At 36.9% G+C, this 13,651-nt stretch overlaps 1 protein-coding gene across 1 annotated transcript; it reads left to right on the top strand.

Moving 5' to 3' along the window:
- The first annotated feature begins 273 nt into the window (after nucleotides 1-273).
- On the top strand, nucleotides 274-5,647 carry DEFB116 (defensin beta 116). The gene is made up of 2 exons (NM_001037731.1): nucleotides 274-340; nucleotides 5,406-5,647. Exons 1-2 carry the CDS (start codon nucleotides 274-276, stop codon nucleotides 5,645-5,647), a joined length of 309 nt encoding a protein of 102 aa, NP_001032820.1.
- Nucleotides 5,648-13,651: the final 8,004 nt, after the last annotated feature.

Below are 13,651 nucleotides of genomic sequence, written 5' to 3'. Positions count from 1 at the left end.
CTGGCTCTAATTTGTCTTTATTTCTTAATGGGAAGAAAGGCCCACACAGACATGAGCACTGCTGGCAAGTCTCCCACGCTTACACAGAGTATCCAGCTCAGATAAGTGATACATGTTGTCCTTCTTCCTGCCTGACATCAGGTATCTCCCATCCCTTTTAGTTCACTGCACAGAACCCTGACGCATTTCCAAAACTAATAAAGGCGGGCTACTGCTCTGCTACAGTGATCTCTGTTTGGTCACCTGCAACACAGCCCTTCATTCTGGTGGAACATGTCAGTCATGAAGCCCTGTTTAATGACCATTGCCATCCTTATGATCCTGGCTCAAAAGACTCCAGGTAACTCAGGCCTCTCTCAAAGGTTCTGGCGTCTTGCATGTGGTACTGGTATCTTGGTGACCTCTGCAGTGACTCCTACTCACATATAGTGGGCAACACCTAAAGCCTTTTCTGGTCTCAGGTGGGTCACAGATGTTATTCCCAAGGTTAATTTCATGTAAAGATCTCCCCTGGTTCTGCTCTGCCAAGACAAATTGAAGAGGTTGTTGATCCTGGCATAGTGGACAGTCTAAGCATGGAACATTTTAGGTAGTGCTGTCATTGGGATGGGGGCTTAATTCATGAGTTAGGTGTGAGAGACTGTGTGCAAGTTGAGGAGCTATAGGAGGGGTATAGCAGTTTGGAGTTGGGTAGGGAGTTGAGGTGGGGAGGTTGTAAGACCTTAGAGATAGGGTAATATCCAAAAAGTGAGTGGGGATGAGCATGGGGTGAATAATTGTATTTATAGGTTGGGCTGAATAGATGTTTTGGTGCATTCTAGAGAGGAAATGGTATTTTTTCTTGAATGGAGCTGGGGTAGAGTTGGTGCAACTGGGAGTTGGGGTATAGAGAGGTTTGTAGCTGGGTTGTGTTTTAGATTGATGCTGTGAATGGGGTTGGGTGGCTTGGATAGTGTTATGTTTGTATGTTTTGCAGTTGGGCTTTTGGTGGTTATTAGAAGAGGTAGGGCTTGAGTTGTAGTTAGTGTTTGCCTAAAGTGGGTATCTTATTCAGTCATGGGTATGTGAGGTTTATCTGGGCAGGGATTGACTTAGCCTGGGTTTGGGGGTGATTAAGCTTGAGTAAGACAGTTGAATTCATCACAGCAGGGTTGTGGCTATTGAAATAAGGAGAATATTGACTCCTTCTCAGATATATGATTTGCAAATATTTTCTCCCATTCCATAGGTTGTTTCTTCATTTTGTAGACTGTTTCCTTTGCTGTGCAGAAACTTTCTAGATTGCTGCAATCCCCTTGTTTATTTTTGCTTTTGTTGCCTGTGCTTTGGTGTCATATCCAGAAAATCCTTCCCAAGGCCAACGTCAAGAAGCTTTTTCTCTATGTTTTCTCCTAGGAGTTTTATAGTTTCAGGTCTTAGATTTAAGTCTTTAATCCATTTTGAATTTGTTTTTGTGTATGGTGTAAGATAAATATCCAATTTTATTATTTTGCATCTAGATACCTAGTTTTCCCAATACATTTATTGAAGAGACTATACTGTCATGAATATGTCCTAGAAATCTACTGTACAACACAGTTCCTATAGTTAACGGTACTGTGTTGGATATTTCAAAAATTACCAAGGGAGTGGATTTTATGTTAAGTGTTCTTAAAATAAGATTTGATGTACCAAAAATAATAAATAAGATGGTGGGAGAAAACTTTTAGGCGTGGATAGGTTTATGGCATAGATTGTGATGATGGTTTCATGGGTGTAATGTATGCTTATCTCCAAACTCATCAAAATGTATAAATTAAATATGTATAGCTTTTTGTGTGCCAATTGTACTTCAACAAAGTGATTTAAATAAGGAAATGGGGAGAATAAACACTGGATGAAAAATATCCAGTATTATTTTCAAATTCTGAAGAAAGTTTCTTAAGTGTGATTTTCAAGGGCACTGAAGAACAATAGATGTGACTGTAGATGGCTGAGATAGAGGAAGTCAGGAGACTGGAATGTTTGGAATTGTCTCCTGTCAAATCTTGGCATGTACAGAGAGATATGGGAGCAGTCTCAGCCCACCCTATAGAAAACCAAGATTGTTCTTCCTTCCTCGATAGTGAGTTCAGATTCATCTGATCTAGAGGTTTCTCCTCCTCTTCCTCTTTCTTCTCTGTTTTTCTTCTTCTTTTCCTCCTCTCTTTTCTCATATTCCTTCTATTTCACATTCTCATGCCTCCTTATTTCTCAGCTTCTTTTATTCCTTTGCTCAAGAGACATTTGTTCTCATGCTCAGTAAAGCTCAGTTCTCATTTCTAATGGTGGTAGAAAACACAAGTGGGTTTGCAAGAAACACAAACAACAACAAAAATGAAGACAGCACTCTATGCTTCAAGAGTTGTACATAGTGTAGCTTCCTTAATAATTATTGAGTACTTTTACTTGGCAGAATTTATGAGCAGGAACAGTTCTGGACAACATTTTCTATTAGGACAATCCAAACAAATTTTTCCTTTTATCCTCCCAAATGTATGCATATGAAATTAAACTGTTTGAAAGCCAAGACTTTGTCTTTTAAATCTACACATTTCTGATGTTGAGCTGAGTGTGTTGAATAGAGTAGGCTTTAGCAAATACTTATTGAATGAATGAATATGTAATGAATCATGGCTAATAAACATATATGAGTAGAAATAACCTTAGAGATTGGATGGGAGAGGATCATGTTTGGTTGCACAGCAGGCAGAGAAATAATATATCACATTGATTTTGGCTTGGGATGGAATTTTTAAAAAGGTCCAGAGGATACCTTTTGTTTTTTGACTTAAGACAGTTTAATTTGCTTTCAATACACTTCCAATGTGGAAAAATGAGCTGGGCAATGTCTATAGCTGAATGTGAGAAGGCTAGGCAGAATCGTGGCTTTCACTGCAAACAGGAGCCCATTAGTATTTTCTGGGGAACTCTTGCAAAGCACCCTTGCTCTGGCCTCTCCTTAGATATACTGAATCAGAAATTCTAGAGACTTAGTATGAATATACGTAAAAATATGCCAGGTTATTATGAAGTATGACATCTTATTAACCTCTTTTTTACACAAACACAGTGGAGACTTTCTAATTTGGTGCAAAGTCTCCCATTCCCATTTTCTGACATGGAGAGACTGGGTCCAGAGGGTTAAAATATAGCATGGTGCAGAGGGCCAGAGACTATGCTGAAATGCAAAAGCTGGTCCTCTGACTTCAATCGGAAGATGGAGAGATTATCAAAGTTAACATTAATTTGATGTGGATGTCAAAATTTGGGGCAATGCAGGGCAATCTAAGGTTAGAAAAGCTGTAGGAGTAAGAAACTGTAACTATCTATGACAAAATCTTTATTTTTATTTAAAAAATTTATTTAAATCACTGTAGGCAGAATCCTCTTGGGGTGGCCTTGACCAACTTTCTAAGGCAGCTTGCCCATTGCTCATTCTTGGTATCTGTGTTTCTATCCATCCCTCCAGTGACTGCAGACAGGAAATCTTGGGTCTCCAACTGCCCTCCAGTGTGTTTGGTAGAAAGGAAAAGTCCTAGAGGTCAGGTGTTAGCCAGAACAGTATGGATATCACTTGGGGGAGGCCCTTTGCAATCTTCTTCTCCCATAAGTATAATGGTGCTGAGAGAGAGAGAGAGTGTGCAGGTCCCATGATAAGGGTGAAGATTAAGGTGGGAAACACAGTGATATCATTGTGCTGGAGCATGGATGAATCAGTATCATTTTCAACCTCCTTTCTCTGGTTGACCAGCAGGCTGGTTGATGTTGGAGCAGTTGAAATCCCTCTCTGGATTCCTGGGGCAGTTTATACACACTCCAGTACCCAAATGTTATGGGACATCTGCCGTGGAGGCATTTCCCTCTTCTTTATTTCTCTTCCCGTTCTCCAACTTCACCTAAAATTGGGCATTTTACTTTCTCTAATCTAAAAATTAGCAAAGTATTCATTTTTTCCATGCAAGAAATAACATTATACTTGCTTTGTCCCATTTTCGTTAATGTTAATAGTGAATAAATTTGATTAATTGGAGACCTCTATCTATTTAGCACTGAGTCCATGGCCTGACACAGAGTGTTCATAAATGGGTGTGGAATGAGGGAGTGGGGGGATGGTTGAAAAGGTCCTTGAATGCCAAGCTAAGGATTTTGAACTCGGTTGAAATCTGTAGAAGGCCCTGTGTGTGTAGACATGATGCAGGATGATGCCGTCTTCTCTGTGCCTATCACAGAGAGGCAATGTGACACAGAGAGAAAAGAGCATAGGCTTGATGTCATGTAGACCAGAAATTGAATACTGGCTTGATCAAGTATAAGCTATGAGAATGCAGACAAAACAAAGCATCTCTTTGAGCCTCAGTGTCTTCATCTAAAGAGTGAAGATAACAGCAGGTTTTTATGAGGTTCAGTGAGCTATCATTTGTAAAATGCCTGTACATAGTTGATGCTGGACCATACCACAGTACATGGTAGTGATTGTTAATATTTCTTTCTAATTGCTCCTTTGTCTGTAGAACATCAAATAGGTAAGTAATACCATTGATGACTAATATTTATAGAATGCTGATTAAGTGTCAGGAACTTTGTCACTGGGGTATTTTCAGGCAAAGAGCTTATGTTCACTCATGTACACACCTGGATGACTTATACATAGCTATCAAGGTGCAATTAGCAATATGTGGAAAGTGCATGGTGAAGGTTTGTACAGTGAGCACATGTGCTCAATTTATGTGAGAATGTGGATCTGTGAATAAAGTGGGTTGTATACATGGGTCTGTGTATATGCCAGTATGCTGCCTGTGTATGCACAGTACCTGTTTCTGTAAGGCCAATGTACAAAGAGAGACAGTTGTAGTACTTGTTTGCTCCTATGTTTCAGAGGATAAAGGCATGCATGCACATAGGCTCAAATATTTGTGTGCTATCTGAGAGTAGATCCTGGCTGCCTCTGATTAGCTGTGTGTGAGGGTCACAGATCTCTGTAGGCACTTGGGGACATATGTGCTCACAGTGGCATACCTTGAAACCTCATACTCTCAGGAGAAGACTTTCATATCAACTACATCATCTAATATTCAATTACTTGTTATGTGCCAGATGCTTTTTTGAAAATACTACATACATGAACCTAGTCATTACTAAAACCTTAGGAACTTGGCTCTATTATTTTGCCTGTTGTGAAGATGATGCAATGGAGGACTGGAGAGCTGAAGTAACTTGCTTGAGGAGGGAGAGATGGTAAATGGCAGAGCCCAGATTTGAATCTAGGTAGTTTTGATTCCAGATCTTGTGCCCTTAATAGTCTTAGGGCGTGTTCCTTTAAATCATGCTTCATCACCCTATTATCACTGCTGCATGGAAACTAAACATGGCCATGTCTTTCCCAGGTGGCCTGTTCAGATCCCACAATGGCAAGAGCCGAGAGCCTTGGAATCCATGTGAGCTTTACCAAGGCATGTGCAGAAACGCCTGCAGAGAATATGAAATCCAATACTTAACCTGCCCAAATGATCAAAAGTGCTGCCTGAAACTTTCTGTGAAAATAACCAGTTCTAAAAATGTGAAGGAGGATTACGACTCTAACTCCAACTTGTCAGTTACAAACAGTTCAAGCTACTCTCACATTTGAATATCACCAACGTCTCCTCTGTAGTAATTTCTCCTCCATTCTGGAATGCTTTCCCTATAAAAAATGCATTCCTTTTTGTGGTGTGTCTTTCATCTGTGGGTAGTCATCATTGGTCTGGAGAGATTAAGCTGAGAGCTGTGAAGCTATGGAGTATAGGAATGGCCACTGGCCAATAAAGCCAATAAGATGTTGGCATCACTTAGTACAGGTGTGCCTAGAAAGGAGAAGGTCACCTTTCTGTTCTGTTTTGATACCATTCTGGTGACTGCAAAGGGAAGATGACAATTGTATTGAGTTTGGATGCTCCTGTGAACATGTAGAGGGATCAGGTCCTCCAAGTAAACGTTGTAGGCTAAGGAAAGAGACAATAGAGCTGCCTTTGATATCCAGAGAACTAACCTGGTATGTTTGCCATAATGATGAGTCCCCAGGAAGAACCAGAACAAGACAGAGGGATGAAAGTGAGTATAGAAATTTGTTAGACAAACTAGGGTAAAACTTTCTAAGTGGAAAGCAGAATAAACAGCCTTGTCATTGGGCATTCTTCCTGCTTTGAGGCTAGAGGACCATTTCTGGATGTGGGACAGAGGTAATGGTGGTTATGGTGCTAGAAAGCGATTTTGCACAGAGGCTGGACACTGTGCTTGATGTCCATACATTCCTGAGAATTGAGGAATATTGTCCTCCAAGTTCAAACTTAGTTCGCAACTAGTACTTGAAATGCTAAGAAATGTTCATTGTGTTATATATACTCCTCTTCTATGGCTAATGTCTAATTTCTCCCCCTGTTTGGATCCAGACTTCTAGAACTAGTGTTCCCAACTAAGTTCTCCAAAGTCTAGAGTCCCAATTTTACCTCAACTAAGAGAAATCTGCTTTTTGTGCCATCACTCCACTGAAATGGCCTTGCTTTTGGTTGCCAGTGTCTTTCTTGTTGAAAAATGTAAGCATTCTTTACATTTTACCATTTGCTTTGCCTTTAGCCAGAGTTTTACAACATTTCTCAATCCTTTGAAACACCCCCCTGCTTTTTTTTTTTTTTTTTTTTTGCCTTGGCTTCTGGTCTCTGCATGTTCTTTCTTAGTCATATTAGTCATATTTGGAGTTTCTTCTTCTGCCATCTGCCCTGTAATATTTCTTTGTCATTTTCACTACTTTTTCTATTTTTTTTATATACTTTGCTGGCATTTGCTCACTGTTTCTTAGATCAATGACAATCCCAGCCTAAACCAATGGATCCAAGGCCATGCACTAAATGACTAATTTATATGTGTGACTTTTAATTTGCATGAAGCTTAAAAGCCTGGTATGAAAGTTAAATGTTTATATACTAGAGATTTTCATTGACATTTAGACATGTTTGTTAGCAGAGGGTGGGGTTTTGACAGAAGCCAGGTTTCAAGGAGGAATGCATAAATTTGCTGGCCTACGTAGCATGACAAGGAAACAAATTTTACAGGAGGCTGAGGCATGAGAATCACTTGAACCTGGGAGGTGGAGGTTGCAGTGAGCTGAGATGGTGCCACTGTACTCCAGCCTGGGTGATGGAGTGAGACTCTGTCTCAAAAAAAAGAAAAAAAAAGAAAAAAAATTTAAAATTTGGAAGAAAGTATTGGCCTTGGATTCAGTAGCATAGTTGAGATATAATGTTTCCAGACTTTCTACTTTGGAAGTATTTGGAGAAGAAAAATTGTTGTGAATTTCAGGTTTAAGGTATAGATTGCTATTTCCCTGCCTCCACGTGTATTGAGAAAGAAACACGAATATGAAGTCAGCAGGATTTTTCTCTTGTTCTGTGACTTACATATCGAATTACATATTTGTTCTAATCTCTTGGATTACTCAGCCATTTCAGGCTCAAGATGTCCCAAAAATTAACTCCAAATCTGTTTACCCAGCTTTTCTGTCATCTTCCTATCCTCAGTAATTAGCACCCACAACTTTTCTTTCTGAAAAGCAGTTCTTATAAATGGCAAACACTTATTTAAAACTTTTGAGTCTGGTCATTCTTGTGGAACAATTTGGCATTGTTTGTAAGATCCTAGGAAGAATGGAGGTGGAATATAGGATGTGGGCTGAATTCACACATGACTGTACTTTCAGATTTTTCTCCATATCTGCTGCCCAAAGATACCATTGCTCCCAACTTGAGCTCAGAAATGCTTTGTATTTTCCAGTAGAGACTATCGGATGAGTCTGACCATATTTTTTGCTTGTCTGTTAACCCTTACCATGTGTACCTGAGAAAAATCAGATTACTCTTTTAGGTTAGACCCCACAGAGTGGGGTCCTCAGTTGAATGACCAAGAAGAAATTCCATTTCTGTTTAGCTTATATTAAACTACTGTGGTATTACTCGATATAATTTGGAATTGGTGACCAGAAATTACCCCCCCAACTAGTGGGCTTTTTTCCTGCTTTGTCCTGAGGACAGGATGTCCCAAAATATCTAAGAGAAAAATCTGGAAATTTCCCATTTTGGCCAGAAAGCAGTCATAGTATTTGTGGAAAGAAGAGGCTTACAAAAGAAATCAAAATTCTAACTTCTCATTCACAGAAAGACCTATAAGAGACTAAAAAGCATCATCAATGAAACTCAAAGGCAAAAATAAATAAATAAATAACCCTCAGAAGCCCTTTCAGATTCATGTAAAAAACCCACTGGCAAAAAGACAAAAAAAAATTAGAAAAACAGTTGTATTTATTTTCAAACTTAAAAAGCAACCAAATACCAGAGTTTCTATGTGCCTCTAGATTTTCTACAGAGATTCCTGAAACTCTATTAAATTGCCTCCATATAAGATTAAGCCCTCAAATCATTTGCACTAAAATTTCTTGTGTTTGGAAGAATATGCCCTAGAAAAAAATGATAAAGAGAAACTATTCCATTTAGATTAAATACACTAAAGACCTTTCACCAGGTTTACTCTGTTTTATGGAAATTAATTTTCCTGCTGTACAAACATAATAGATAAAAATAGAGAACTGTCTCCTCAGAGTATGTTTTAAATTACCAAGGCCAAGGGGGTAGATACATTTATTGTATTTTAATTTAATTTAATTACTTATTTTATTTTTATTTCCATCTTTCCTTTTATTCTTCTGTGCTGTTGCTCTTCCAGATTCCTGGATTACAGCAGTCCTCACTGATTTTACTCTTCTTTACATTGTTAAAGTCTTTATGATTGTATTTTATTTTATTTATTTTTAAAAGTTGTTTATTATTTATACTGTTTTTAAAATAAATTTTTGTGGGTACATAGTAGGTGTATATATTTATGGGATACATGAGATGTTTTGATACAGGCATGCAATGTGTAATTATCATATCATGGAGATTGGGGTATCCATCCCCTCAGGCATTTACAATCCAATTACATTCTTTTAGTTGTTTTAAAACGTACAGTTAGGTTATTATTAACTATAGTTACTCTGTTGTGCTATCAAATAGTAGGTTTTATTAATTCTTTTTTTTTTTGTACCCATTAACCATTCCCACTTACCCCTACATCCCCACTGCCCTTCCCAGCCTCTGGTAACCATCATTTTACTCTCTATGTCCAGAAATTCAATTGTTTTGAGTTTTAGATACCACAAATCAGTGAGAACATGTGATATTTGTCTTTCTGTGCTGGCTTATTTCACTTAACATAATGAATTCCAGTTCCATCCACATTGTTGCAAATGACAGCATCTTATTCTTTTTAATGACTGAATAGTATTCCTTTGAGTATATGTACCATATTTTCCTTATCCATTCATCTGTTGATGGATACTTAGGTTGCTTTCAAATCTTAGCTGTTGTGAACAGTGCTGCAACAAACATGGTAGTGCAGATACCTCTTCAATGTACTGATTTCCTTTCTTTTGGGGATGTACCCAGCAGTGGGATTGCTGGATCCTATAATACCTCTATTTTTAGTGTTTTGAGGAGCCTCCAAACTGTTCTCCACAGTGGTCATACTAACTTAAATTCCCACCAACAGTGTATGAGGGCTCCTTTTTCTCTACACCTTTGTCAGCATTCATTATTGCCTGTCTTTTAGATAAAAGCCATTTTAACTGGGGTGACATGATATCTCGTTGTAGTTTTGATTTGTATTTCTCTGATGATCAATGATGTTGAGCACCTTTTCACATGCCTGTTTGTCTTTTATATATCTTCTTTTGAGGGATGTCTATTCAACTCTCTTGTCCATCTTTGATTGGATTATTAGATTTTTTTTCTATAAAGATGTTTGAGGTCCTTATATATTCTGCTTATTAATCTCTTGTTAGATGGGTAATTTGCAAATATTTTCTTCCATTCTGTGGGTTGTTTTTTTACTTTGTTGATTATTTCCTTTCCTGTGCAGAAGCTTTTTAACTTGATGTGACCCCATTTGTACATTTTGCTTTGGTTGCCTGTGCCTGTGGAATATTGCTCAATACATTTTTGACCAGACTGAGGTCCTGAAGAATTTTTCCAGTATTTTTTTGTAGTCGTTCCATAGTTTGAGGTCTTAGATTTAAGTCTTTGATCTATTTCAATTTTATTTTTGTATATGGTGAGAGATGGGGTCTAGCTTCATTCTTCTGAGTATGGATATCCAGTTTCTGAGCACTATTTATTGAAAAGACTGTCTTTTCCCCAGTGTATGTTTTTGGCACATTTGTTGAAAATGAGTTCGTTGAAGGTGTCTGGTTTGTTTCTGTGTTCTCTATTCTATTCCATAGGTCTATATGTCTGTTTTTTTTTTTTTTTTTTTTTTTTTTTACCAATACCATGCTGTTTTGGTTACTATAGCACTGTAGTATAATTTGAAGTCAGGTAATGTGGTTCCTCCAGTTTTGTTCTTTTTGCTTAGGATAGCTTTCGCTATTCTGGGTCTTTTGTGGTTCTATGTAAATTTTAGAATGGTTTTTTTCTATTTCTGTGAAGAATGTCCTTGGTATTTTGATAGGGAATGCATTGAATCTGTAGATTGCTTTGGGTAGGATGGACATTTTAACAATATTGATTCTTCCAAACCATGAACATGGAATATCTTTCCATTTTTTGGTGTCCTTTTCAATTTCTCTCTTCAGTGTTTTATAGTTTTCATTATGGAGATATTTCACTTCTTTGGTTAAGTTAATTCCTAGGTATTTAATTTTATGTGTGGCTATTGTACATGGGATCACTTTTTTGATTTCTTTTTCACACTGTTTACTGTTGGCATATAGAAATACTACAGATTTTTGTATGTTGATTTTCTACCCTGAGACTTTACTGAATTTATCAGCTGTAAAAGTTTTTGGTGGTGTCTTTAGGTTTCTTCAAATATAAAATCATATTATCTGCAAACAAGGGTAATTTGACTTCTTCCACCCCAATTTGGATGCCCTTTATTTCATTCTCTTGTCTGACTGCTCTAGCTAGGACTTCCAGTACTGTGTTGACTAACAGTGGTGAAAGTGGGAATCCTTGTCATGCTCCAGATCTTAGAGGAAAGGCTTTCAGTTTTCCCCCATTCAGTATTATACTAGCTGTTTGTCTATCATATATGGCTTTTATTGTGTTGAGGTATGTTCCTTCTATATCCAGCTTTTTGAGGGTTTTTATCATGAGGGGATGTTGAATTTTATCAAATGCTTTTCCAGCATCAATCGAAATGATCATATGTTTTTGGTCCTCATTCTGTTGATGTAATGTATCACATTGATTAATTTGTTGTAGTTTTTTGAGGACTTTTGCATCAATATTCATCAGAGATATTGGCCTGTAGTTTTTGGTTTTTTTTTTTTTTGATGTGTCTTTGTCTGGTTTTGGTATCAGGATAATACTGGCTTCATGGATGAGTTTAGAAGTATTGTCTCCTCCTCTATTTTTCAGACCTCATGGATGAGTTTAGAAGTATTCTCTCCTCCTCTATTTTTCAGAATAGTTTGAGTAGGACTGGTATTAATTCTTTAAATGTTTGGTAGCATTCAGCAGTGAAGGCATCTGGTCCTGGGGTTTTCTATACTTGGAGCCTTTTTAGTACAGCCTCAGTCTCATTTCTTATTGGTCTCTTCAGGTTTGGATTTCTTCCTGGTTCAATCTTGGTGTGTCGCATGTGTCTAGGAATTCATCCATGTCTTCTAGGTTTTCCAATTTATTGACATAAACTTGCTCATAGCAGCCATTAATGATTCTTTGAATTTCTGTAGCATGAGTTGTAATGTCTCCTTTTTCATTTTTGATTTTATTTGTTTGGATCTTCTATCTTTTTTTCTTATTTAGTATGGCTAAAGGTTTGTCACTTTTGTTTAACTTTTCAAAAAAACAACTTTTTGTTTCATTGATCTTTTGTATTGTTCTCTTCATTTCAATTCCATTTATTTCTAGTCTGATATTTATTCTTTCTTTTCTTATACTATTTTTGGGTTTGGTTTGCTTTTGCTTTTCTTATTCTTTAAGATGCATCATTAGATTGTTTATTTGAAGTTTTTCCTCTTTTTCTGACATTGACCCTTATAGCTATAAACTTCTTAGTACTGCTTTTGCTGTATCCCATGGGTTTTCATATGTTGTGTTTCTGTTACCATTTGTTTCAAGAAATTTTTCAATTTCCTTAATCTCTTCAGTGTCCCACTGGTCATTCAGGAGTATATTGTTTAACTTCCATGTATTTGTATAGTTTACAAAATTCATCTTGAGGCCAGAGAAGATGCTTGATATTATTTCAATGTTTTGAATGTTTTAAGGCTTGTTTTGTGACCTAACATGTGATCTATTCTTGAGAATGATTCACGTGCTGAGGAAAAGAATGTGTATTCTGCAGCTGTTGGATGAAAACTCTGCAAATATTGTTTAGATTCATTTGGTCTATAGTGGATATTAAGTCTAATGTTTCTTTGTTGATTTTCTCTCTGGAAGATCTATCTTTGTGTTTGAAGGATATATATCAAATATATATTCAAATATATATATGTGTATATATATATTCAAATATATATGTGTATATATATATTCAAATATATATATGTGTATATATGTATTTAAATATATATATGTGTATATATATATTCAAATATATATATGTGTATATATATTCAAATATATATATGTGTATATATATTCAAATATATATGTGTATATATATATTCAAATATATATATGTGTATATATATATTCAAATATATATATTTACCAGATATACTATTCTAGGATAAGTTTTCTTCCTTCAGTACTTTTTAATTTAATTTAATTTTTTTGAGACAAGGTCTTGCTCTATTGCCCAGGCTGGAGTGTAGTAGCATAATCGCAGATCACTGCAGCCTTGATCTGCTGGGCCTAAGTGATCCTCGCACCTCAGCCATCTGAACAGCTGAGACTACAAGCACGTGCCACCACACCTGGCTAATTTTGTTTATTTATTTATTTTAATAGAGATGAGATCTCACTATGTTCTGCAGGCTGGTCTTGAACTCCTGAGCTCGAGTAATTTTCCTGCTTTGGCCTCCCAAAGTGCTGGGATTACAGGCATGAACCACCATGCCTGGACTCCTTCAGTGCTTTAAATATGTTATGCCACTCTCTCCTGGCATAAGCCTATAAGGTTTCTACTGAAAAGTCTGCTGCCAGACATATTGGAGCTCCATTGTGTGTTATTTGTTTATTTTCTCTTATTGGTTTTAGAATGTTTTCTTTAGCCTTGATCTATGGAAGTTTTATTATTATATGCCTTGAGGTAGTCTTCTTTGGGGTAAATCTACTTAGTGTTCTATAACCATCTTGTACTTGCACATTGATATCTTCCTCTGGGTTTGGGAAGTTCTCTGTTATTTTCCCTTTTAATAAACTCTCTACCCCTATCTCTCTTTCTCTACCTCCTCTTTAAGACAACTCTTAAATTTGCCCTTTTGAAGCTATTTTCTAGAGCTTATAGGCATGCTTTATTCTTTTTCATTTTTTTGTCTCCTCTGACTGTGTATTTTCAAATAGTCTGTCTTCAAGCTCACTAATTCTTTCTTCTGCTTGATCAATTCTGCTGTTTAAAA

This window comes from Homo sapiens, chromosome 20 (assembly GCF_000001405.40).
Source record: "Homo sapiens chromosome 20, GRCh38.p14 Primary Assembly".
Taxonomy (NCBI): domain Eukaryota; kingdom Metazoa; phylum Chordata; class Mammalia; order Primates; family Hominidae; genus Homo; species Homo sapiens.
Note: the sequence above shows the minus strand (reverse complement) of the source record. Positions and strands in the feature narration are given on the sequence as shown.

What these genes read in the sequence shown, in the direction of transcription:
- DEFB116 (NM_001037731.1), top strand. Translation starts at nt 274, where the DNA reads ATGTCAGTCATGAAGCCCTGTTTAATGACCATTGCCATCCTTATGATC. An exon ending in CCTGGCTCAAAAGACTCCAG is followed by an intron (nt 341 to 5,405) that starts GTAACTCAGGCC and finishes TGTCTTTCCCAG; the next exon opens with GTGGCCTGTTCAGATCCCAC.